This window comes from Homo sapiens, chromosome 4, assembly GCF_000001405.40.
Source record: "Homo sapiens chromosome 4, GRCh38.p14 Primary Assembly".
Classification (NCBI taxonomy): domain Eukaryota; kingdom Metazoa; phylum Chordata; class Mammalia; order Primates; family Hominidae; genus Homo; species Homo sapiens.
Window position 1 is genome coordinate 87,045,135 of NC_000004.12, and position 23,779 is coordinate 87,068,913.

At 41.2% G+C, this 23,779-nt stretch overlaps 1 protein-coding gene across 13 annotated transcripts in view, besides 2 other annotated features; it reads left to right on the top strand.

Annotated features, from left to right (window-relative positions):
* AFF1 (ALF transcription elongation factor 1) overlaps positions 1-23,779 on the top strand; it is a 206,029-nt gene that overhangs the window by 110,124 nt on the left and 72,126 nt on the right. For 10 of the 13 annotated variants that reach the window (XM_005263007.4, XM_047415702.1, NM_001166693.3 and 7 more), the window contains 2 exons: positions 1,032-1,152; positions 1,561-2,460. The exons of the other annotated variants lie outside the window; for them this stretch is intronic. In XM_005263007.4, the coding sequence (XP_005263064.1) occupies positions 1,032-1,152; positions 1,561-2,460 (1,021 nt within the window). The remainder of the gene's footprint in view (positions 1-1,031; positions 1,153-1,560; positions 2,461-23,779) is intronic. 13 annotated transcript variants of the gene reach the window in all.
* Positions 13,599-13,688: an enhancer, noted in NCBI's record as "active region_21701". NCBI's record gives its function as "activates an Ori minimal core promoter by ATAC-STARR-seq in GM12878 lymphoblastoid cells {active_cell/tissue: GM12878}" and the evidence as "EXISTENCE:reporter gene assay evidence [ECO:0000049][PMID:35858748]".
* Positions 23,586-23,775: an enhancer, noted in NCBI's record as "active region_21702". NCBI's record gives its function as "activates an Ori minimal core promoter by ATAC-STARR-seq in GM12878 lymphoblastoid cells {active_cell/tissue: GM12878}" and the evidence as "EXISTENCE:reporter gene assay evidence [ECO:0000049][PMID:35858748]".

Below are 23,779 nucleotides of genomic sequence, written 5' to 3' on the forward strand. Positions count from 1 at the left end.
GGGGTGGGGAAGGGCGTCTGACATCAGGGCTAGAATTTCCGAAGGTACTGACCGACAGCCTTAACTAGACAATCAAATATTTTCCTGTTTGTTCAAACGGCATTGGGAGAAAACATTCAGTAGATTCCCTAGGAGCAAGTCTGTGAAGACAGAAGTCATTTTATAGTTCTTATTTCACTTTTTAATCATACATTGCGTGTGAGGGCTGGGAAGTGACCCTTGGTGCTGACAATGAGGCAGGTCCACTTTTGGTTTATGTGTTGGTTAAAACTGCACTACTTTTGGTCTCCATCTCTGATTTGTTTCTCGGTGAATGCCGTTTAACCCCTTTAGTGCCAGGGCTGATGATTTAGGATACATTTTTATGTGTTTTAAGTAGGGCAGTCAGATTATAAAGCGTTCTCCGTCGGTAGAGCTGACATCTATAATTGGATTTTCTCATCCTTGACGTTTGAAATGAGAAATAAAAATCATTTTTTGTGGGGTTTACATGCCAAGACACTCCCAGTAGAGTAGGCTGAGAAAGTAAATGCTGTTTTGGGTGCCTGGTAATCTTTTAATTATGAAATAAGCCTTTTGATTTTAATCTTTCAAAATGTACGCTACTGATCCAGGAAAACGGCCTTTCTAAAGTCCACATCCTGCTGACTCCTGCAGATGAAAAGCTTCCACCTCTACCCCATATTTTGCAAGCTGAAAATAAAAATATCATTAATCTTGTCTCAGTTCCACTGCTGCCTATAAAAGGCTGTTCAGTTTGGAACCAGTCCTGAGCCATGATGGAGACCATGGCCCAGAGTGAATGCTTGGGTTTTGGGAGCCAGGACCCCAGGCTGGAGGGTCACAGCCAAGTGACTGAGGCCTCACCCTAAGGCTGGGTTAAGGAACTTAGGCTTTCTTTAAATCACAGCCGTCATCACTGCTTCTTCCCAGACCTGTCCTCACCTCCCTTCTCACATGTAAGTATGCCTGACAAAACTTGGAGACTGATAAATTTTATTGTTTTCATTCTTTTGTGGCATCTGAAACAGTTTGTACAATGACGACAGAAACCTGCTTCGAATTAGAGAGAAGGAAAGACGCAACCAGGAAGCCCACCAAGAGAAAGAGGCATTTCCTGAAAAGATTCCCCTTTTTGGAGAGCCCTACAAGGTATTTACTGAACACTAGACATTGAAGTCCTGATTTATCACAATGTTGAACCCTATGATGAAACAATTCAGTATAATTGAGTTCGAACAAGGGTCACAGCTGTGAAAATAAGATAACTTATTCTAACTTATTCTAGAGATTTTTGAAAACAAAGTATGAAAATTCTCTGAAGGTTGTTAGAATTACCAAAGTTTGTGGTTTTCTTTTGTAATGCTAGTCTTCTACAGTTAGTAATATGTATCCATGGTAGTCTTCTCAACAGGGGAATTGAGTTAAAATGGCACATTAAATTCTACATGTCGTACATTAAGTTCGGAGTTTTTTCCTTAATAGTATTATATAACGTGGTTTGTTAAATGGTAGTTTTCCTTAGTTTTTTTTCATTCTCAAATTCTCCTTTTTTTTCAGACAGCAAAAGGTGATGAGCTGTCTAGTCGAATACAGAACATGTTGGGAAACTACGAAGAAGTGAAGGAGTTCCTTAGTACTAAGTCTCACACTCATCGCCTGGATGCTTCTGAAAATAGGTTGGGAAAGCCGAAATATCCTTTAATTCCTGACAAAGGGAGCAGCATTCCATCCAGCTCCTTCCACACTAGTGTCCACCACCAGTCCATTCACACTCCTGCGTCTGGACCACTTTCTGTTGGCAACATTAGCCACAATCCAAAGATGGCGCAGCCAAGAACTGAACCAATGCCAAGTCTCCATGCCAAAAGCTGCGGCCCACCGGACAGCCAGCACCTGACCCAGGATCGCCTTGGTCAGGAGGGGTTCGGCTCTAGTCATCACAAGAAAGGTGACCGAAGAGCTGACGGAGACCACTGTGCTTCGGTGACAGATTCGGCTCCAGAGAGGGAGCTTTCTCCCTTAATCTCTTTGCCTTCCCCAGTTCCCCCTTTGTCACCTATACATTCCAACCAGCAAACTCTTCCCCGGACGCAAGGAAGCAGCAAGGTTCATGGCAGCAGCAATAACAGTAAAGGCTATTGCCCAGCCAAATCTCCCAAGGACCTAGCAGTGAAAGTCCATGATAAAGAGACCCCTCAAGACAGTTTGGTGGCCCCTGCCCAGCCGCCTTCTCAGACATTTCCACCTCCCTCCCTCCCCTCAAAAAGTGTTGCAATGCAGCAGAAGCCCACGGCTTATGTCCGGCCCATGGATGGTCAAGATCAGGCCCCTAGTGAATCCCCTGAACTGAAACCACTGCCGGAGGACTATCGACAGCAGACCTTTGAAAAAACAGACTTGAAAGTGCCTGCCAAAGCCAAGCTCACCAAACTGAAGATGCCTTCTCAGTCAGTTGAGGTGTGTGGAATTTCTTATCTTGGGGAATTCCAATTCGAAGACGGATTTGAGATGAAAATGTCCGGAGGATGTGGGGCAAGGTGGGGAGGTTAGTCCATGGCTTTTGGGTAGGGGGAATTCTTTTTGGCTTTAGGATCTTGTTAATAACCCGCGAAAAACTCAGATCTGAGATGGACGACTGATTATAGATATTGAAATGCAGTTTGCAGAAAGGTTTAGAGAACCTTTTTATGGAGCCAAAATTTATATACAGTAAAACATAGAGATCATAAGAGTACAGTTTGTGTTTCAAAAAATAGATACACCTATAGGATCCAAAACCCAATCAAGAGAGAGAAGATTTCGGTTACCAGAAAGTTTCAGGAAGGTTTTCAGGTGTCTTATTTATTGTTTTGGGAGACACTGGGGTAACAATGTGAACACGAAAAAATTTTTTTTGATTAATACCTCCTCAGACCCAGTTAATTTTTCCTGGGCTCTAAACCGTAAAAAAGTAAAAACAAGATGACAGAGTCTCTTAATTTTTATTATTTTAGAAGGACTTGTTCCCTGTAAATTGTAAGGAACTTTATAACTAAAGTTCTGTTCTAATATTTTATTATTTATCACCTAAAAAAGAAGAGTGGGTATACGGTGACATTTCACTTGAGAGTGAGTCACAAATATAATACAGAATGTTATTCAATTATGGGTTTTAAAAGTAACCCAAATGCTGTACTTTTTAAAACCAAGAAAAAAAATATTTCTTTTTCTACTGCATGGATAAACAGCAGCATTGTGTTTGAATGAGGAGAATTAGAGCATACATTCTGTCACTGAAATTTTAAAGTGGTACCAATTTCTCCAAAATTAAGATTAGTAGTGTGAAGTGAAATGTTTGAAGGGAATTTTAAAACTTATCTTTTAATGTAAAGTCTATGGTTTAGTTACATCTATTGTATAAACATTCTAATTTGCATCTCCATTGCTCAAAGACATTTATGCCATCCAGATATGTTTTACATAATGCCAGAAGGTGAAATTCCTCAGGTGGGGGCGTGATTCCTACCTGGAAAGATAACCTTTATCTTCCAGGAGGACAACTTGTAACTTTCTGGTGTCAGCTTCTGGTTTAGAAGAGGGAGGTTGGGGTGCCGTCCTCACTGAGCTCTTGAGCTGAGTACTTCCAGATGTCTTCTGAATACCACTTGTTTGGGGACCAAGGAAAAATAAGAAAGAAGGAGTAAAACCAATGGCAGAAATGACCAAGATGGCAGAACTGCATCTCTGATCCTAACTTAAGAAGATTTAATGCACTGAGCCATTTATTGAACATTTTGTGCTGTGATGGAGGTAGGGGTAGGCAGCTGAATGAAGGCAAAATAAAGTGAGATCCTCCCTCCTCAAAACAGTCACTCCCCCTGCCTTCTAATTCAGGCAATAAAGAACTCAATGAGAGTTTCTTTCTTTCTTTATCAAATAGGGTTAGCTGTATGTTCCCAGTTTAAAAAAAAAAAAAAAAGGGGGGGGGGGGACAACTTAACATTCTTTCTAAAAATAACAAACCTAAAAAATTGCTTTAAAACAATTTTTAGACAAATTAGCAAATATTTGCATTGTCTACCAAATGCCCAACCATATGCTTAAGTGCAAGATTCTGTGCCAGAGAAATCGGTCCTTGCTGCAGGACAGATTAGTCTAGTATAGAGATCAGCCTACACTTATGAAACAATTAGAGAACAATTGAGTTTTCTCTCTCTGGAACGAGGTGCTTATAAACCTGTGTAATTCAGCCCTAGGTTTCCTAGTAGATGTTTCTGGGAGAGGATTCCTGTTAACTTACTGTTTTCTTGGGTGGAAATAAGTAGGCTGAGTTGAGATTCTTCAGTGTCTTAAAACCCCTTATATTTAATATGTATTTTGAACATAGGACTATGTTAATTGGCTCTTGCATGTTTTCTGAGGAACAAAATCCTCCATACATTTGGTCATTGAAGAATGGGGTTTTTTTTTTGGCACCAGTGCATCTGCTGTCAACAATGGAGTAGAAGTAAACCTTTCATCTGCAGCCTCTGTTCACAGTCAGCATTTCCTTTAATGCGGTGGTTCCCTCTGGTCTCGGCCCGAGTTCTCATGCCAGGCAGCGGCAGCTGTGGTACCAACTGCCTGGGAGCCCCGTGGCGCTGTTGGTGAGTGGGAGGATGGAACTGAGGGGGTCAGACAGATGGAGGGCTCTCGGTGACCCCTTTGAGGGCAAATTAGGAGCCAAGAGCATGGAATGAAGGAGTCGTCAATCCGGGAAGTGGGGATCTTGGTGCTCCCTGGTCAGGTTTTGGATTTGATTTTGCTCTTTTAATGAAGATCTCATGTTGCACAGACTTAGCATTAATTTTCTGTTTATACACTTAGCAAAATGGGTATTTTTGAAAGTTTTAAAAATATACTTGAATTTTATATTTCAAATTTTAATATTTCTTGTGAATCCAAGGATTATTATTCTGGTGAACCCAAGGAAAGTGTAGAGATGTAGGACCAAAAATGTGGAAATTAGCCCCAGAGCAGGTAAACTTTGAATATAGGTGAGAATATTACCAATAGCCTGGGTTATTTTTGGGTTTGGGGCAGAAGGGGAAGCTGTCTCTTGGTAGAGCTGGGAGAAGGGGGTGTGGGAGTAGCTGAGTGATTTTCCTTTATTTGCTTAATTGGTCCTAAGGCAAGTCAGAGGAAATTTTCTCTTTCCTAGTGCTCTGAGTGTGAGGGGATAGTTGGGTTTTGTGGTTTGTTTCATTTCTCCCCTACCCCTTTCCACTGCTTCTGTGAAATAGTGATTTTACAAATGAACCCAAATTGGAAAGTCACTCTTTTTATTTTTTGGTTTTTATGTTCCTTCATTCTCTAGCCACCTAAGTGTGGATTCTTTACTCCCTGTCCTTTCCTTTCACCTCATGGGAAATACTTGGTTTTATGTTCTAGTTGGTACTATAAAAACTCATAGTCTTCTCTGGGATAAGTCTTTCTCAGAATTAAAGTTTAATTCTTCCAAAGATCCTAAGGGAAAAAATTATCAAAAGGTCGGTTTCCGACTAGAGGCCTGGACCACAAAAATCTGCACTTGGTTTTTCTCCGGGAGTGTCTGTTTTAGTTTTACGTCAACTGGAAGATGTCTAGCAGTGTGAAGTGACCAATCTGAGGCCAGGCCCAGAACTCCGCGATCTCACGTGGATCCCGTCCAGCTGCAGAGTTGCCACATCAGAGGTGGACCTGCCCAATTGGAAGATTGAGATTTCTTTATATCGTTCTTTTCTGTCTAGAGATAACAAGTGAAAGAGAGAGAAGCCGTGGCATCTCTGTGAGTGCTCATGCACATGGACCCCGAGGCTGGGGGCATTGAGATGGAACGTGGAGGTGGGGAGGTGTGCCTAGACACAGGTTTCAGATAAAGGATTTATGTGCTAGATAGGCTTTTTATTGAAAAGGAGAAGTGGAATAAGCAGAGATGGGTATACCAAATCATATACTGAATTTAGAATGTTTGAATTTTAAAGCTAAAGACAGCTCTTTCATTTTGCAAATAAGGTCTTAAAGGGTAAAGTCCTTCATTTTGCAAAAAGTTGTAGTTAATATCAGAGCCAGAGCTAGAACACCCAGTTCTTTTGACTTGCTGTTTGGTGGCAGCATTGGTGGCAGTGGTGAGATGTTTGTGTTTTTGACCAGAAGAGTTGTAATTTGTCACCCAGACCGAACCTACAGCAGAGCCATGGAGGATACAGTGAGTTTCATTTCCTGTGTGTTTCTTGGCCTCACTTTTATCTTTCATCATTCCTCTTTTTCTTTCCTTTTTCTTTTTTTTTTTTTTAACGTACTCATTCAACAAACTGGTATTTTGTTTGTTTTGTTTTGTTTTTTGAGACAGAGTCTTGCTCTGTCGCCAGGCTGGAGTGCAATGGCGCAATCTTGGCTCACTGCAACCTCCACCTCCCGGGTTCAAGCGATCCTCCTGCCTCAGCCTTCCATGTAGTTGGAACTACAGGCATGTGCCACCATGCCCGGCTAATTTTTTGTGTATATATTTTTTTATTCGAGACGAGGTTTCACCATGTTGGCCAGGATGGTCTCAATCTCTTGACTTCATGATCCGCCCACCTCAGCCTCCCAAAGTGCTGGGATTACAGGTGTGAGCCACTGTGCCCAGCCCAACAAACTGATATTAACCCTCCACTGTGTTCCATGCACTGTAGTAGGTTCTTGATGATACAGCTGAGATCAAGGTAGACAGATCCCTGGTCTCATAGACCATCTATTCTAATGGGGGGCATTGATAATATAGTTATAATGAAATCATAGGCGTTGATAAGAGTGCCGCAAGAAGTAAAGAGGGTGATGAGGATGAGATGAATCAGAGGAGGCTGACTTAAAAATGGTGGTCAGCACAGGACCCTCTGAGGAGGCACCTTTCACAGAGACACCTCACATGGAGGATGAACATGCGTCAGTCATGCAGAGCTCAGAGACGTATTTCATTTCAGGCAGAGGAAACAAGTGTAAAGGCCTGAATTTAGGAAAAGGCATGGCCTTGTTAATCCCAGCACATTGGGAGGCCGAGGTGGGAGGATCACTCCTGGGGAGCCCAGGAGTTCAAGACCAGCCTGGGCAACATAGTGAGATGTTTTATCAAAAAATTAAAAAGTTTTCCCAGCTATTGGGAAAAAATTAAAAGTAGTTCCAGCTACTCAGGAGGCTGAGATAGGAGGATCACTTGAGCCTGAGAGGCTGAGGTTGTAGGGAGTTGAGATACTGCCACTGAACTCCAGCCTGAGCGACAGTGAGACCCTGTCTCAACCGCTCCCTCCTCCCCCCACACCACCACCCAAAATAAACAGAAATGAGGGGAGTATGGCTAGAACACTGAGAGTGAGGGGAGGATGTGAGATGGAACTGGCGACATAGGCAGGAGTAAGACCATGGAGGCTTTGTTGGCCGTGAAAGGCATTTGGGTATTATTTGTGATTGAAACCATTGGATAATTTTGAGCAGGGGAGGGACATATCTACTTTTTTTTTTTCTTTTTAAAAAACTGTAACTCTGGCTTCTGGGTGGGAAATGGATGAGAGGGGCAAAGGTGGAAGCAGGGAGACCAGTTGGGAGATAGGAAATGATAGTGGCTTGGGGTAGTAGCCATGTATGTGGATAGTAGCCATGTACGTGGTATGAAGTGGACAAGTTCTGGATCTGTTTGGCAGGGAACTGATAGGGCTCTGTGATTGACAGGAGATAGGAGTGGCCTGAGGTGAGGGGAGGCGAGGCATCAAACAAGGCTGGTAGACTTTTTATTTGAAAGGCAAGGATGGTGGGATGATACTAGCTACCGAGAGGGAAATGACCTGGAAAACTAAGAACTCTAGTTGGGTCATGTATTAAGATCATGTGTTCGGTTTGAGATGCTGTAATGTATCCAGGTAGAGATGACAAGTGGCAGTCATAAACAGGAGTCTAACTCTGGGAAAATGTCAGAACTGAAAATAATTTGGGATTTGTGTTTATTTAGTAGGTATTTAAAACCTTGGGACCGAGCATGTGTACCTAAGAATCCTTATATGGTCTTAATTCCTCCTCCAGATCAGTCTGGCTTTGAGTCCTGATTGTGACTGATTTCTGCAAAGCAATTGCTCTTTTCCTTGTGGCCTCTTGTCACATCATGTTAGGAACGTTTTGTTGCCAGATGCTTGCATTTAATTTCCAAGACCCAAGTGTACATTCATTGTTGGACCACTTTGATTCATTGCAGCTCTTAAATTGAGCCTCCTATTTTCAATAAACTACCAGCCTAACAACTGCATGAATTAACCCACAGTGGAAAACTGTGTGATAGTGATTCACTTTGCATTCACATATACAAACATTCTTTCCTACTTCCATATTTAATTTAAACCTCAAGAAGAGGGACTTCCCTATTATGAGATGATCTAAACCTTCAGGCGGTTTACTTCTGGATATGCCGATGGTGCACATCCTGCTCCTGCACCACTCAAAACACATTTAAGCAGCTTACTCTCACAAACACATCATGTATTCAGCAATTTTAACCAAAATATCTTGAACCCCTGTTGTGTGCCAGGCCTGGTGCTGGGGATGAGAGGTTAAAATGGTGGGCAAAACCAGATGGTTCCAGTCCTCTTGGATCTTAACTGTCCTATTAGAAACTGACATTAGTCAAGTAATCACTCAGATCCATGTATAAGAAGCTTTGACAAGTGCTATAAGGGAAACTACAAGCTATTCTAAGAGCTATAAGAGGGGATTGTGACTTAGAACTAAGGAGCTGAGGAAGGCTTCTCTGAGGAAGTACTATTTGAATGAGAGCTGAAGGTGAGTAGGAGTGGCCCAAGTGAGGGGTGTTGGGGCTTAAGCAGTGTCAGTATTCCAGGAAGAAGGAATAGCATGTGCCACTGGCTTATGCCACACCATGTGCAGAGACCATTAGAGAATTCTTCCCAGGATATAAGCCCAGTACCATAGATCAAAGGGAATTTTTCATTTATTCTGAAACTTGGCAGCACATCAGAATCACCTGGGAAGCCTGATAAAAATACAAATTGTTAAAAATAAAAATTCCCAGGCCCTCCCCTAGGGGGGCTGAGTTTGTTCTGTAGCCTGGAAATGACAACTGTTCCGGAAAAGCTTATGGGCCACAGGGAGCTACAGGGGCCCCTCCCAGTGGCTCAAGAAGCCCCCCGACATGTGGGTCTCGGGCACAAGGATCACACTGAACTGATGGATGGGGCTTTCATTCCTGAGTAGGACGTCAGAGTAGCCTTGGGAGAAGCACAGGAGTGGGATCCCCAAGACTCTCCTCCTCTTTTCCTCCGTAGCTCATGTTTTTCATTGTTCTGCCCCCAACATAAGGTAGAAGATTATGACACAATCTTATCTAGCTTTTCAGGTTCCGTTTTCTAAAAATGTTTTATTATGGTAACTCTAGATTCCGTAAGCTCGACCTCAGTGAGCCTGGGCAGACCTACATGACCTAAATGTGTTAGGAAATTGATAGCAGAGTAAAGTTATCTGTGTGCAGAATTCCCTGCTGCCATGGGTGGTGCCTGGAGCAGACGACTTCCAAACCGCTTGTAAGAAAGCATGAAGAATAAGTCACCTGCACTTCAGAGGCCAAATTTTAAACCTGAAAAGATCTAAATATAGAAGTTTTAAAATAGTGACAGGCAGGTTTTTTAGAGCAGAAGCTGTAAACCAGCAGCCTGAGGGCTAGGTTGGGCCTGCAGACAAATTATTTTGTTTGGCCTGTAGGGCTTGTTTTCTTTCTTTCTCCCTACCGCCCCCCACACTTTTAGCCAGTATTTACAAACTGGAGAATTTAGGAAAAAAATCATTATTGGCTGAGTAGAGGCAATTTCTGGAACCTGGCAATCTTTAGAGTTTCTCTCTCTCACCCGGGCTGGAATGCAGTAGCACGATCACAGCTCACTTCAGCCTTGAACTCCTGGGTCCAAGCAGTGCCCACTTTTCCATCCTGAGTAGCTAGGACTGCAGGCACATGGCAGCATGCTTGGCTGATTTATTTTTATTTTTTGTAGAGACAAGGTCTTGGGGTGTTGCCCAGGCTGAACCTGGCAATCTTATGAAGAAACACTTTAAACTCTGAAGGAAACTTTTTAAGTAATATAGACACAATATTTTTGAAAAGCTCTTAAATTGCTAAAAATTAATGCAAAGAATAGAATTGCTTATAGTAGCCCAAGAGGAAAGCATAAAATTGAAACTGGAAGAACTTTTTGGGTGGTATTAATTGGAGTTGTTTTTACTTTGTGCATTTCACTTTCTATTCCTTCTCGGAAATGCCAGAAGTACATTTGGTACCAGGATGAGAAATTCCTGTTCCTCCTTGTTTTCACACTTGAGATGTTTGTGGATGGTTATTGGATCCCCCTGAGTCTCTCCAGTTGTGCCTTTGCCAAGATATAGACATTCAACTCTTTTGAATCTTCCCAGACTGCATGTGCTCTCCCAGGCTCTCACATAGCCACCCGGGTCATTTTAGCTCTTCTCTAGATTAACTGTGTTTTATTTTGAGCCAACTGATAATCTTCAGGGACAGAAACCCAGATATTCCAAGGGGAATCTTGTTGATGACTGAGTTAGTGGTTTGATTTTGGCTGTTTTGGTGGGGGTGACCAACACTCATGAGATATTTAAACAGTTCCTCCTAAGAGAGGATCCTGGTTCATGTTAACATAATAATTTATTTTTTGGTCTTGTATTTCTTCTCTCCAGTTGCCAACAGCAATTTGACATTATTTTCCAAGGTTAACTTTGCATGTTCACATTTCCCAAGAACTCTATAAGCAGCTATTTTTACATTGATTTTGTTCCTTTCTTTAATTGTTGAAATAACTCTATTGATGGTTTTTCCCACAGAGGTCTAGGGTCCACACAAACTATTAGTTTTCTCTTGAACTTCATTTCATTCCCTATTTAAATTTGGCCTACTTTCTCTCTGCATTTTTTTTTTCCTAACCCCGTGGTAATTTGTCAAGCCCATTCTAATCTTCTTAATCCCTTTGGCTGAAGGGTTTTGAGGTTTAATGTTTTAATCTAGAGGCCTCAGTATTTAAGTAATTAGAGGTCCTATTTCTAGCTCTGTCCTTTAGATAAATCACCTTAGGTTTTTTATTCCAATTTACAAATAATAGAACTCTGAAAACTCATATTGGACAGGAATGTGGAGCTTTGAATTGAAGTGCATGAATTAAGAAAGGAAGGCATTCTATGTTATGTATATTTCTTCGAGGTATTCTTAACAACCCCACACTATATTATAGATTCCCTTTTTCCTTAGAGCTCAATTTTTAAAATACCCCGAAGCAAGTATTTGCTGTTGCATTTTAGAAAAATTTAAAATAGAATTCTATGGTATAATTAGAATGTATGTTACTTCCAACATTTTTTCATGCTCGAGAACATGGGAACTTGTGAAAAAATTTTTTCCTATTAAATAATCTGAACATTCTTACAAAATGTTTTTTAAAAATAACTTTGTTTCTTTGTCATAGAAGGATTCATATTTTTACATTCTGTCAACAAATATTTGAACACCCATTAGATATAAAGGGAGCTAATAGGAAAGAAAGACACAGGCACAGTAAATTTATTATGACATAGCATAAAAATCCAAAGTGTAATCAGTATGAGCAAGGTAATACGGAACTCTTCATAATACATTGCTGGCATAGTCCCCTTGTTCACTTTATGATGAAAACTATTCTAAATGCTTTATAGGTGCTAACTCATTTCATATTCACGATGATCCCATGTGGTAGGGTACTGTTACCATCCTGTTTTACTGAGAGATTTAGAGGTACAGAGAGATTGGTTGTCCAAGCTTCTGGAGGCTTTTGCCAGTGGATCTGAAATCCAGACTCAAGTAGTCTGGTTCCAGAGTCCACAGTCTTAACCACAACACCTACATTATATTGCCTTTCAAAATTAGAAGCTGTACATTTTTTTTTTAAGAGTTGACTTTTGAAGCACTTTGCACTCTGGTGAAAGGTACATCCAGGCTAAAGGCTTAGGAAGAGAAAAGACATAGAAGCAAGACACGGAGGGAAATCTAGTGGGAGTGGCAGGGCCTGTGGCTCCAGGAGGTTGGGCATGGGCAGAGGAGAGCAGTGGGGAGATGGGCCTGGTGGCAAGATAGGGCCAGCTTTTGAAATTCTTTAGTTATTTATTGAGTAATTTAGATAAAAACAAGAATCATTAATAAAAGGCGGAGAATTATTTTGGCTTCATGGCAGGTGGTACAGCTTGGGCTTATAATTCTGTAAGACTTTGGGCAAGGAACCTAACCTTCCTGTGTTACCAGTTTATTCGTCTGTAAGTAAAGTGGGTCTAATATACTGAGGTAATCTTTGAATTACTTAAGACAGTGCCTTGTGCATAGTATGAGTTCCATACTCCTACTATGGAACTCTTGGTAGTGGTAGAAGTGAAATTTGAACTGGGCCTTAAGAAAAAGAATTTGGACAGAGGGTTATCAAAATGGGGAATTAGTGATGTTGGGGAGTTAGGAAGACTGATCGTATTGTTTATTGAAATGTACTTTAGAAATGAAGTTGGAATTAGATCAAGTGGACCATTAATTCCCAGTTAAGAGTTCTAAGTGAATAAAGCCCCTAAGACTTGATTTTAAAGTATTAAAAATAAGTAAACAAATGAAAAGCCTAGTGAAAGAAAGTATTTCCTTAGGGGTTATCAAGCTTTTAAGAATGGGTTTGCCATGGTGTTAAACCCCCACCGCTGTCTTCAACATCCCCCCGCCCACCATCCCCACCCCTGCCTGATGGCTTAGTTGCTCTGTGAGCTCACTCCTGAACAGCAGCATTCCCGTGGCTTGGCAATCTCTGGTGTAAACAGTTCACTTTATAAAAATGTACGCACTCTAAAATCTTGTAGTGCCCTTTCCCCTTTAATTTCCAAAGCACTTATTTGTTTCTCTCTTGATTATCACAGTAACCTTGTGAGTTAAGTATGGCAGTTGGCAGGAGTCACCATTTTACATGCCGTGGAACTGAGTCTCTAAATTTAATTTAAGCTAGTAAATGGCAGAGATGGAGACATGAAACCTGGACCCTGGCTCCTAGTTCCAGCGCTCCATCTGCCACAAAACATGGTTTCTGTGGAGTAATGATGGCTTATGTACACTTTTATTTAAAGTGTGCTGTTTTTCCACATGGCCTTGCTTTCATGTTGGCATCTGATGAGTCATGCAAATATAGGGTGGCACGGGTGATTCAAATGACAGGATGAGTAAAACTCAGTTTTGGTCTTCGTGGCCATGTGGCTTGCACTGAGACCTTTAACTTTGCTTCCTACCTTTCAGAGAAGGAAGCACCAGGTATGAATTCTCTCAGTTCTTTCTACCTACAGTGCCACCCCCGCCCCCAAATCATAGCAGCCACCATTTGTCTCTTTCTGTTTAATCTCACAGAAGGAGGTGTTCTCAACTCCCCCACTCTCAACCTTTGGTTAGCTTAAACCTTTCCCTTATTACTCAGCTCTTTCATGATAGTCTATAGTTACATTTAGGCCTTTCCCAACTGAAAGAGCAAAACAAACCCTTCTTCACTCTTGTGTCTTCTCTAATTACTACTTTCTTGTTCCCTCCACAGCAAAAGCTCTGGAGACAGAAGTAGGTAAACACTGTTCCTGCTTCCTCTCCTCCCCTCCCCTCTACTTGCAACCCATTGCAGCCTGCTCTGTGCCTTCACGCCACTGCCTCTGCCGGCAGGAGCCACTAGTGGACTGTATTGGATGAATTCGAGGAATGCTCTTTAAGGCCTTATCCTACTTGACATCTCTGTAGCATTTGACACTTGACCACCATCACCTTAAACACTCTCCTCCCCTGTTGTCTGGGTTTTCTTCTACCTTTTTGTACGTGCCTTAATCTCCTTTGGAGGCTGCTGTTCCCACTCCTCCTCCAGGGCTCTGTCCTCAACCATCTTTTCTCATTCTGCAGCCTTTCCCTGGTGACCTCATTTGCACTTAAGATTCAACTGCCGTTGCTCACGAACACCAGAGTGATTTTCTAGCCTAAAACTCTTAAAACGTATTTTGAGATCTAGGTTCTGTTATCCACCTGCCCACTGGACTTTTCTAGTAGGTGTTGCACAGGCATCTTAATTGAACCTGTCTAAAATGGATTTTTTTGTGCCCCCCTCTCCCTGTATCACTTCACACACAGAATGTTCTCCTTCCTCCTGGTCATCAGTTCTCAATTCCTTTCTGTCATATACTCCATTGTTTTGAAAGCAGCTTGATCCTATGGAGATTACTTTATAAACATTCATAGCTTCTCCTTTTCTCTGTCCCTCATTTAGTATGGATTTTTACCGTCTTTCTTGAACTGTTACAACTTCTTTCTAACCTCTCATCTTGCTGTTTTCCTGCTTCTCAGTATGCCACATTATTTCACATGAGTGATTTGATTAAGTGAAAATCAGATCAAGTCGTACTTTTTCAAGATCCTTCAGTACCTCTCCATCACCTTCAGGACAGAAAGCCAGATGTGTCCATTTGTCTTCTTGCCTCTTACCTGTCTCTGCAGCCTTGAGTTCTGGCCCTGCTGCTGGTACTGCCTTGTTCCACTGCAGCCCCCAGACCCTTATAGATGACTTTCTGCTGTGCACCCCGCTGCCCAGGCCCGAGTTTCAGCACTTCTCCCTTGGTATCATCCTGCTGCTTTTTCTCCAGGTGGTAAACATTTTGAGGGCAGAAGTCAATTGTGTCTCATATGCTTGTTTGTCCTTTGTGTTTAGCACAGGTGAGAACTGGAGCCAAATGGGAACTTTGCTACGCTGTGCTCAGCTTGAGGATTTCTTACCCAGCTCACTCTGGTCTGGAGTCTGAAAGATAATCTCTTAAATGCTTGGCTTAACAGAGGGGTGAAGTACTGGACTGAATTTCCTATTCAGGACACTTGACTGGGAAATGGGTGCAGTGTTCAATAATGTTTTTGAGAAATCATTTCACCATTTTCTACCTAAGTATTAAGTAATTTTTGGCATTCCTACATTAAAAATAAACAGCCTAATCCATTCATTAGGAATTTTTAGTTGAGTTCCAGCCTCATAATTACTGTACTTTTCAGAATTGAGCCTGGAGATTAATCAGATTGTTTTATGTGCTATAAAAGTTGGAAGTTTTATGCATCTGTCTCATATATAGGTGCTTTCTTTTGTATTAAATAAGACACTGGATTTCCTTTAGCATGTGTGTGTGTATATATACTTCTTAAAAGTAATGCATATAATAAAACTGCTGTTAATCTAGAAAAGGATTTGCAATTTTAAATATTTTGCTATTGAAGGAATCACTTTTTTGGGAATGAGTCATCCAAATGGGTAGGGCATACACTCTTCTAGACCACAACGGTATCATTAACTGGTATCCTAGTAACTTAAGAATTATTGGGCCAGGCACGGTGGCTGACGCCTGTAATCCCAGCATTTTGGGAGGCTGAGGCGGGTGGATCACCTGAGGTCAGGAGTTCGAGACCAGCCTAACCAACAAGGTGAAACCCCATCTCTACTAAAAATACAAAAATTAGCCAGGTATGGTGGCAGGCGCCTGTACTCCCGGCTTCTGGGGAGGCTGAGACAGGAGAATTGCTTGAACCTGGGAGGCGGAGGTTGCAGTGAGCCGAGATCACGCCACTGCACTCCAGCCTGGCGAGAGTGAGACTCTGTCTCAAAAAAAAAAAAAAAAAAAAAAAAAAAAAAAACACAAAAAAACAACAACAAAAAAACGGAATTATTGACCCTGAAATTGCCTGACTGGCAACCTGGGCTTAATTTTCTAGTAGATTAATGGTCTTGCACTAAAGGATAAAACCGGTACCGAGGTCTTTTATCTCCCTTATATTCGCTCAGGATTCTAGTGAACTAGTTGCTAAGACAAGGGAAAACACTGGTCTGTTGTTCTGAACCTAATTGAGTCTTTTATTATGTTATGACTCACCTGTAGTTCAGATTTATTTCATTCAAGTCATGTAAAATAACTACACTGTGGTTTGTTTTGCTTACTTGGTTCGTGTTTCTAGTGATCTGTCAGGCTGAGTATGCCCATCCGCTAAAGTATGCCCATGGCTTTGGCAGGAGCTTGTGCAGCAGAGAGGAGACCACAGCAGTAAAGGGAAGAGGCTGCCTCATTCCATGGCCCCTCCAGGCTGAGGACCTATTCAGAATCTCTGTATGGAAACTGAAGATATCCATAGTACCTTAAACTGGGCCATGTTTAGCACAACAGGAGATTCTTCTCTTAAAAATGAATGCATCTCTCAATCTCTTACTCCCTTGTTCTCCCACTTGTGAGAGAAGGAAGCATTAAAACCAACACTGGGGCGTGGCTGCCCACAGAGCGTCAGAGACTGTTATATTAATTTAGTTGCCAACATCTAAAAATTAGTACCTTCACATTGAAATCTGGATTTTATTTTTTGTGTTAAAAATGGGAAGAATTGGCAACATACAGTCTTACAGCGCAATCCTGTTAGGCAGGGTGCATGTGCTGTCTTGTCCCAGACCTAACTAGGCCCTTGATATCACCTGCTTGATCCCTGTAACTGTTAATGTTCTCTCCGTCAATTCAAGCATTTCTTTATCTGTATGATTATTCCTCACTTTGAGCAGACCCAAGACATGAGAATCCAGACATGCAAAAGACCTATCTTTTCAGTAAGGTAATGTCATCATGAAATGTCCTTAAAAAAATGTGATTGATTTCTCAAACTTTTGAAAGGAATTAGGTAAAGTAGAATAAACTTTGCTTTTTTTGACCCTCTATCCAAACATAGAGATGTTTTCCTACAAGTCTTTAAATGTATGATTCAGGCATTCATTCATTCATTCATACGGAAAACAAAATACTAACAAGGTTAGTCTAATTAACTTTTTTCTTTTTAGACGGCTGTTCCCAAAACTGTGGAACATGGATTCTTATCCTCCTTGTTTTAGTTTTCCTGTATGAGTGATGAGAAAATGGATAATTATCTTAGTCTAGTGATGCTGCCATAACAAAAGACCTTAGACTGGGTAATTTATAAACAATAGACATTTATTTCTCGCAGTTTTAGAGATTGGGACGTCCAAGATCAAGGTGCTAACAGATTGAGTGTCTGATAAGGACTTGCTTTCTGCCTCCAAGATGGTGTATCTTGCTACGTCCTCATGTGGCAGAAGAGATGGAAGAGACTTGCTCCCTCAAACCCCTTTATACAGGCACTGATCCCATCCATGAGGGCAGCGAGCCCTCATGACCTAAGCACCTCCCGGTAGCCCTGCCTCTTAATATTATCACCTTGGGATTTAAGTCCAACATAGGAACTTTGGAGAGACACATTCAGACCACAGCAGGAGTTATCGATGCTTTTTTCAGCTGTAAAATATATGTTTTTTTTCCAAAAGAGTTTGAATTATAGCACTTAAATGGTGGTGCTGTTTACAATACCAAGTCCAATAGCATATCCTTTAATACCTTTTATTTTAAATTACTTATTTTTATAGCCAGTAATAGGAAGCCTGTTTTAAACATTCATCAGCATACAAAAGTTTGTTTCTTTCTTTTGATTTTAGCAATATTAATCACTTAGTTAGATAGAAAACTCATGTGTTCTGTAGGGTACAGGTGGGTACTTATTTATAACTAGTGGTGAATAAGTATATAATACAGCATGTTATTCATTGGATGGTAAAGACTGGATGTTGTTGGAAGGAAGGAAGATATATTTTAAGGTTTTGTTTTTGGAAATAATTAGATGAGGCTTTTAGGCATTATATATAGGTAGTGGTTAAAAGCATGGATTTGGGATTAAGGAAGACTTGGGTTTGAATCTTGTTTTTACCTTCTCGAGGCCGTTATAAGACAAGAAAACTACTTAACCTGTTCAAGTCTCAATTTCTTTTCTGTAAAATAGCAATGGTAGACAGTTCTTTGTAAGGAGATAGGTTTAAGTAAGAAAATGTATGTTAAACCTTTATATCGATGTCTGGCATATAGTAAGTATGTAATAGCTGCTGTATCTACATCATAATTATAGCAGTTATTTTAACGTTGTCTAAATGTATAAGCATAGTAGATTCACCTCTTTTTTTTTTTTTTTTTTTTTTTTTTTTGAGACAGAGTTTTGCTCTTGTTGCCCAGGCTGGAGTGCAATGGCATGATCTTGGCTCACTGCAACCTCCACCTCCCAGGTTCAAGCGATTCTCCTGCCTCAGCCTTCCCAAGTAGCTGGGATAATAAGCATGCACCACCAATCCTGGCTAATTTTGTATTTTTAGCAGGATGGGGTTTCTCCGTGTGGGTGAGGCTGTTCTCGAACTCCCAGCCTCAGGTGATCCGCCCACCTCGGCCTCCCAAAGTGCTGGGATTGCAGGCGTGAGCCACCGCGCCCGGCCAGATCCACCTCTTTACCTTGGCTTAGAATCTGAAATTGTGGAAGTTTTAATAGTTTTGAATATTATGGCTTTAAGAAAATATGAGTGGGAAATAATGTTTCTAATGGACAGAGCTATGGAGTTAGAATGCATGGGTTCATTCTACTTCACATTTAAATGGGACAGTATTTCCTGAGCTAGAGGGCTGTTGTGAGAATTAAATGGGATATGTTTGCCTGACATTTAGTATATTGTGAGATATACCACCTTTCCTTGACATATTGTGTTAGTAAAAGAAAATTTATGCTGTAGGAAAATTGTATATTATCCATCTTCAAGTAGTCTGTATAGATGTTACAGCTGTGCCTAGAAGTCAGCAGAATCCCAAGAAATATCTTTGTGTTTTAGGTTGGTTTGCTGGTGTTTCACAGTTGTTGTGATGAAGTAATGAAACTCTGTGTCATGGATTTAATTTTAGTCAAGTTTTTAAATGTTACACTTTTTCAATAAGAGACTTGAATAGATATTTTATGCCCTAATAAAGTACTGAATACTTGCTGTAGTTTCAGGATTCCAGAATTGCATTAGTTGTGAGAAGTATATGGGGCAAGGGCTAGTGTGTAAAGGGCTTTTTGAGCCCCGTCACATTTGAGCATTGTGACAAATAGAAAAAATTATAGTACTGAACTGAACACTGATGTATAAAGTGTTAATTCTGTGACCTGGGTCACAAATTTAGTAAGGAAAGGTGTAAGATTAAACATATTTTCATGGAATCTCTGAAGGTTCCTGAATCCAATATAGAAGATAGGCAACATTTGTATTGACTGATAGAGTAAGATGGTTTTACAGGGTAGGAAGCTGGAATGTCCCAAGATATTCATTCAGTTTTTGGTTCACATAGTATTGATGAGTATATAAACTTCTTTAAAATAGTATGGAGGCCAGGCACAGTGGCTCACGCCTGTAATCCCAACACTTTGGGAAGCCGAGGCAGGAGGATTCCTCGAGCCCAGGAGTTTGAGACCAACCTGGACAACATGGTGAGACTGTCTCTACAAAACATTTTAAAAATTAGCGGCTGGGCACGGTGGCTCATGTCTATAATCTCAGCACTTTGGGAGGCTGAGGTGGGTGGATCATCTGAGGTCAGGAATTCGAGACCAGCCTGGGCAACAGGGTGAAACCCTGTCTCTACTAAAAATGCAAAAATTAGCCAGGCATGGTGGTGGGTGCCTGTAATCCTCAGGAGGCTGAGGAAGGAGAATTGCTTGAACCCAGGAAGCGGAGGTTGCAGTAAAGTCGAGATCGCGTCATTGCACTCCAGCCTGGGCAACAAGAGTGAAATTCCGTCTCAAAAGAAAAAAAAAAAAAAGCCGGGTGTTGTGGCATGCACCTGCGGTCCCAGCTGCTCAGGAGGCTGAGGTAGGAGGATCACTTGAGCACAGGAAGTGTAGGCTGCAGTGAGCTGTGTTCGTGCCACTGCACTCCAGCCTGGCTGACAGACTCTGTCACAAGAAAAAATAATATAGTGTGGGGACACCAACCTTTATTTTATGTGTCTTAATGTGGTGCATTAGTCTGCTTTCACACTGCTGATAAAGACATACCTGAGACTGGGCAATTTACAAAGGAAAGAGGTTTAGTGGAGAACTCACAGTTCCACATGGAAGCCTCACAGTCATGCGGAAGGCAAGGAGGAGCAGGTCACGTCTACGTGAGTGGCGGCAAAGAGAGAGGTTGTGCAGGGAAACTCCTGTTTTTAAAACCATCAGATCTCATGAGACTCACTGTTACAAGAACAGCACGGGAAAGACCTGCCCCCATGATCGAATTACCTCCCACCAGCTCCCTCCCACAACACATGGGAATTCAAGATGAGATTTGGGTGGGGACACAGCCAAATCATGTCATGTGAATTAGGAAGAAATATAAACCAGCATATCAAACAAACCTAGGGTTTCACAAATATTGCTTAGGATGAGGTGAGGTTAAAAAAAAAAAAAGTGAGTTGATCATAAACTGATCTAAAAAAATAGTACAAGTAGTATTATGACGCAGTGCCGCTATCAAAGTAGTATAGAAATGACCGAAGTTTGGGAAAAACTGTTTTGGACTGTCCTCATATCATGGAGGAAAGACTGGTTAAAGATGGGGCAGTGTCAGAAGAAAAATAAGTTTTAGGCCGGAGGTAATTTTAAACATTTTCTTGCCTTACCAGCGGATGGCTTCCTTGTGCTTAAAGAACTTAAACAGTTGAGAATTAAATTTTGCCCATTATTTTTCCCCCCCCTTTCTCTGTGCAACCTCTCTGCCCCTTAATAAATGTTTTTGGTACTGACTACTGCTGCTCCTGCTAATACCATCCTGTAGAAATTTTTCTTGAGTGAGGAATAGTTTTTAGAAGGCTTTTATGATGATAACTTTTAAATTTATTTTTAACTATGCCAGCAGGTTATTAGATATATAGGTTCAAAGGAGATTGAGGCTGGAGTCTGTTCAAACATTTTCAGAGGTGAAGATGACACAGGGTTCATGGAGATTTCCTTCATGGTACCAGAACAGGGCAGGGTTTCACTGCATGATAATACCCATGTTTCCATTGCTTGTAGACCTAATCATTTTTACTTATTGATTGGCACTGTGGGCCAAGATCGTGACATCCATCCTAATAAGCAGGTCTCATCAAAAGCCTTAGAATGGAGAAAATTTTAATAATGCTTTATTAGTTGGTTAAGTAAGCCCTGATGTTTGGCTTTCTAGTGACCGGTCATTGCCCTGCAGACTCTGTAATGGGACAGTTTGGCTGGGTGTAGGGGGTCATGCCAGGCTGAGGTGGGAGGATTACTGTAGGCCAGGAGTTTTGAGACTAGCCTAGGCAACATAGACCGCCCCCCATCCCTATAAATATTTAACAATTAGCTGAGCATAATGGTGTGTGTGCTTGTAGTCTTAGCTGCTGAGGAGGCTGAGGTGAGAGGATCACTTCAGCTCAAGAGCTTGAGGTTACAGTGAGCTATATGATTGCACCAGTGAACTCCAGCCTGGGCAACACAGTGAGACCCTGTCTCAAAACAAAAACAAAAACAAAAACAGGTAGGGAGAGACAAGGAGAAGGGTAGTACTGACATGGCCTGTCTTTACTTTCCCCTCTCAGCCCTGGAACTCTCCACAGGGAAAGGTTTTTTGTTCCTTCTTCTTGTCTAATAAATGGCTTGACTTGAGGGGTATCTTGGAGGCATTCTCAACCCAACCCTGAAGGTTTATCAGCACTTTCCTGGTGGACAGCACCTCAGCCTCTGCCCTGGCTCCTTTCATCCTCATCCCCTAGAGCCAGGATCCCAGCATTTACAAATTAAGATGTTTCTCCCACATTAATTAATTCAGAATTTATTAGAAACATACTGCAGACACAAAGGTCAAGTACACGACGGCTTCTTCAGAGCTGAAGAGTCTGCAGCTGTTTACGATTATATCAGAGGAGGAGATGTAATCAAAGATTGTACTATACAATTATTAAAAGTTACAGAATTTGTTACTGTTTATCATTCCCTTTCCCCTTTCAGAGGACATTTTCACAGAGATTCATGAAATAAAAGTTTGGTTAATGACAGAAGTGGGAAACCTTAGTAGGATGGAAGAAAAGAAAGAAAGACTGAGGCTTTTGTGCCATGGTAAGATGGTAAAACAATAAAAATAACATCTGCATTTTATTGAGAACATACTCTGTGTGTACAGGCACTGTGTTTAAGCCGTTTCCATGCAACAAGCTTAATAGTTGGAGAATCTTGCTCATAAGCACCTACCCTGCACAGCCAGAACCACTATGGATAACTTCTACAAACATCTCCTGAGATTTTTGAGAATTCCTGTTTGCAAAGTCTGCTGAAGTTGTTCCCATAAACTGCAATAAAGTGTAACTTCACGAGAATTACTGTATGTATCCCTTGAGTGGTGAGTGATGGACTACAGTGAGAAGTGGATTCTAGGGTGTTGGATTCACATTTGTGGCTAACCAAGATTACAAATTCATGCATGTTCTGGAATTTCAGGGGCATTGCTAAATGCACAGAGTCAGGGGCCTGCTGGATGTGTTTTTAGTGGCAATAAGTATTACCCAGTCTTTTCTGCTGCTGTAAGCTTTCAGATAGAGACTTGAGAGCAAAAAGGTCAGCTTACCCTTTGTAGTTGGAACTCAGTTCCTGTAGAATTTCTTTGGAAACATGTGTTTCTAATATGTCAGAATTGGTTTAGCTTAAGCTAAAAAGAAAATTATAGCCTGATTTGTTTAAAGGAACAAAAATGTCTACATGCCACAGTTTGGATGCACAGAGCATGGTTCAATGCTCAGTAGACTTTTATGCTTTTTATTACTCGGATTTTTATTTCTCTATCAGTGTGCTAGATAAAAAGTAAAGTTTTATGGGTAGTATTCTAGTTCTACATAGAAGTTTTATTTCTCATATAGTTTTTTCTTATATGTAAAATTACATGTTATGAGCTACTTTAATATTAACAAGTAACCTCAGTAAAATACTAAAGTGACTGTTATGGGATAAATAACGAAACTTAGGAAACTTAGGATCATTTGTTTTGAAATACATAATACTGGAATTACTGAATTTTTCCCTCTAGAGTTTTAAAATTCCCATTGCCAGTGGAGTGGGGGTGGGGATGTGTGCACGTGTGTATTGTTATTTTTGTTCCTGAGATTGGGCTATAATGTAAGCATGAAAATTGCCCCCCCCCCACTCCATGAATAAATTGCCTTTATATCTTATCTTACTAATGATATGCATTTACACATAATGCCTTGTGATAGAATTAATTCTAAAGGAAATTGTTAACTAGATGAGATTTTTCAGACACTGCCTATTAGGCAGGTTTTAATAGGAACTCCCACTGGTGGCTTAACTATTTTGCTTGTGTGCTATCATCTACTTTAAATCCCATAGATTTTTCCATCAGCCTTGAAAACAAAGGTTAAACTATTTTTGGGTCTTCACATCCTGGTTTTGCAGGGAGACGGGAGGTATGGAGGCATTGCCCATTTCATAAAGCTGTATGTTTTTGAACTACGCACATGGTGCTTTGCACGAATCAAAACTGCCAAAGGGACAGATGTTGCCAATTTCAAATGTACAGGGGGAAGGCAAATATTGCTAAGCAACGGTGTACTTGAGAGAGCATTTTTAGGAGCAGAGCCAGGGGAGTTATGCCTGGGAGCACTCACTGCTTCTTATGGCTCAGTACAAGGGAAGAGATTCAAAGTTCTTTCCTGTAAGGGCCGCCATTGCAGCCGCCAGCACACGAGACAGTGACCTAGTGGCACCGATTAGGGCTGGCAAGGGGATGTGTGAAAACAGGAAAGCTTTTTTGCCATGTGGGAAGGCAGT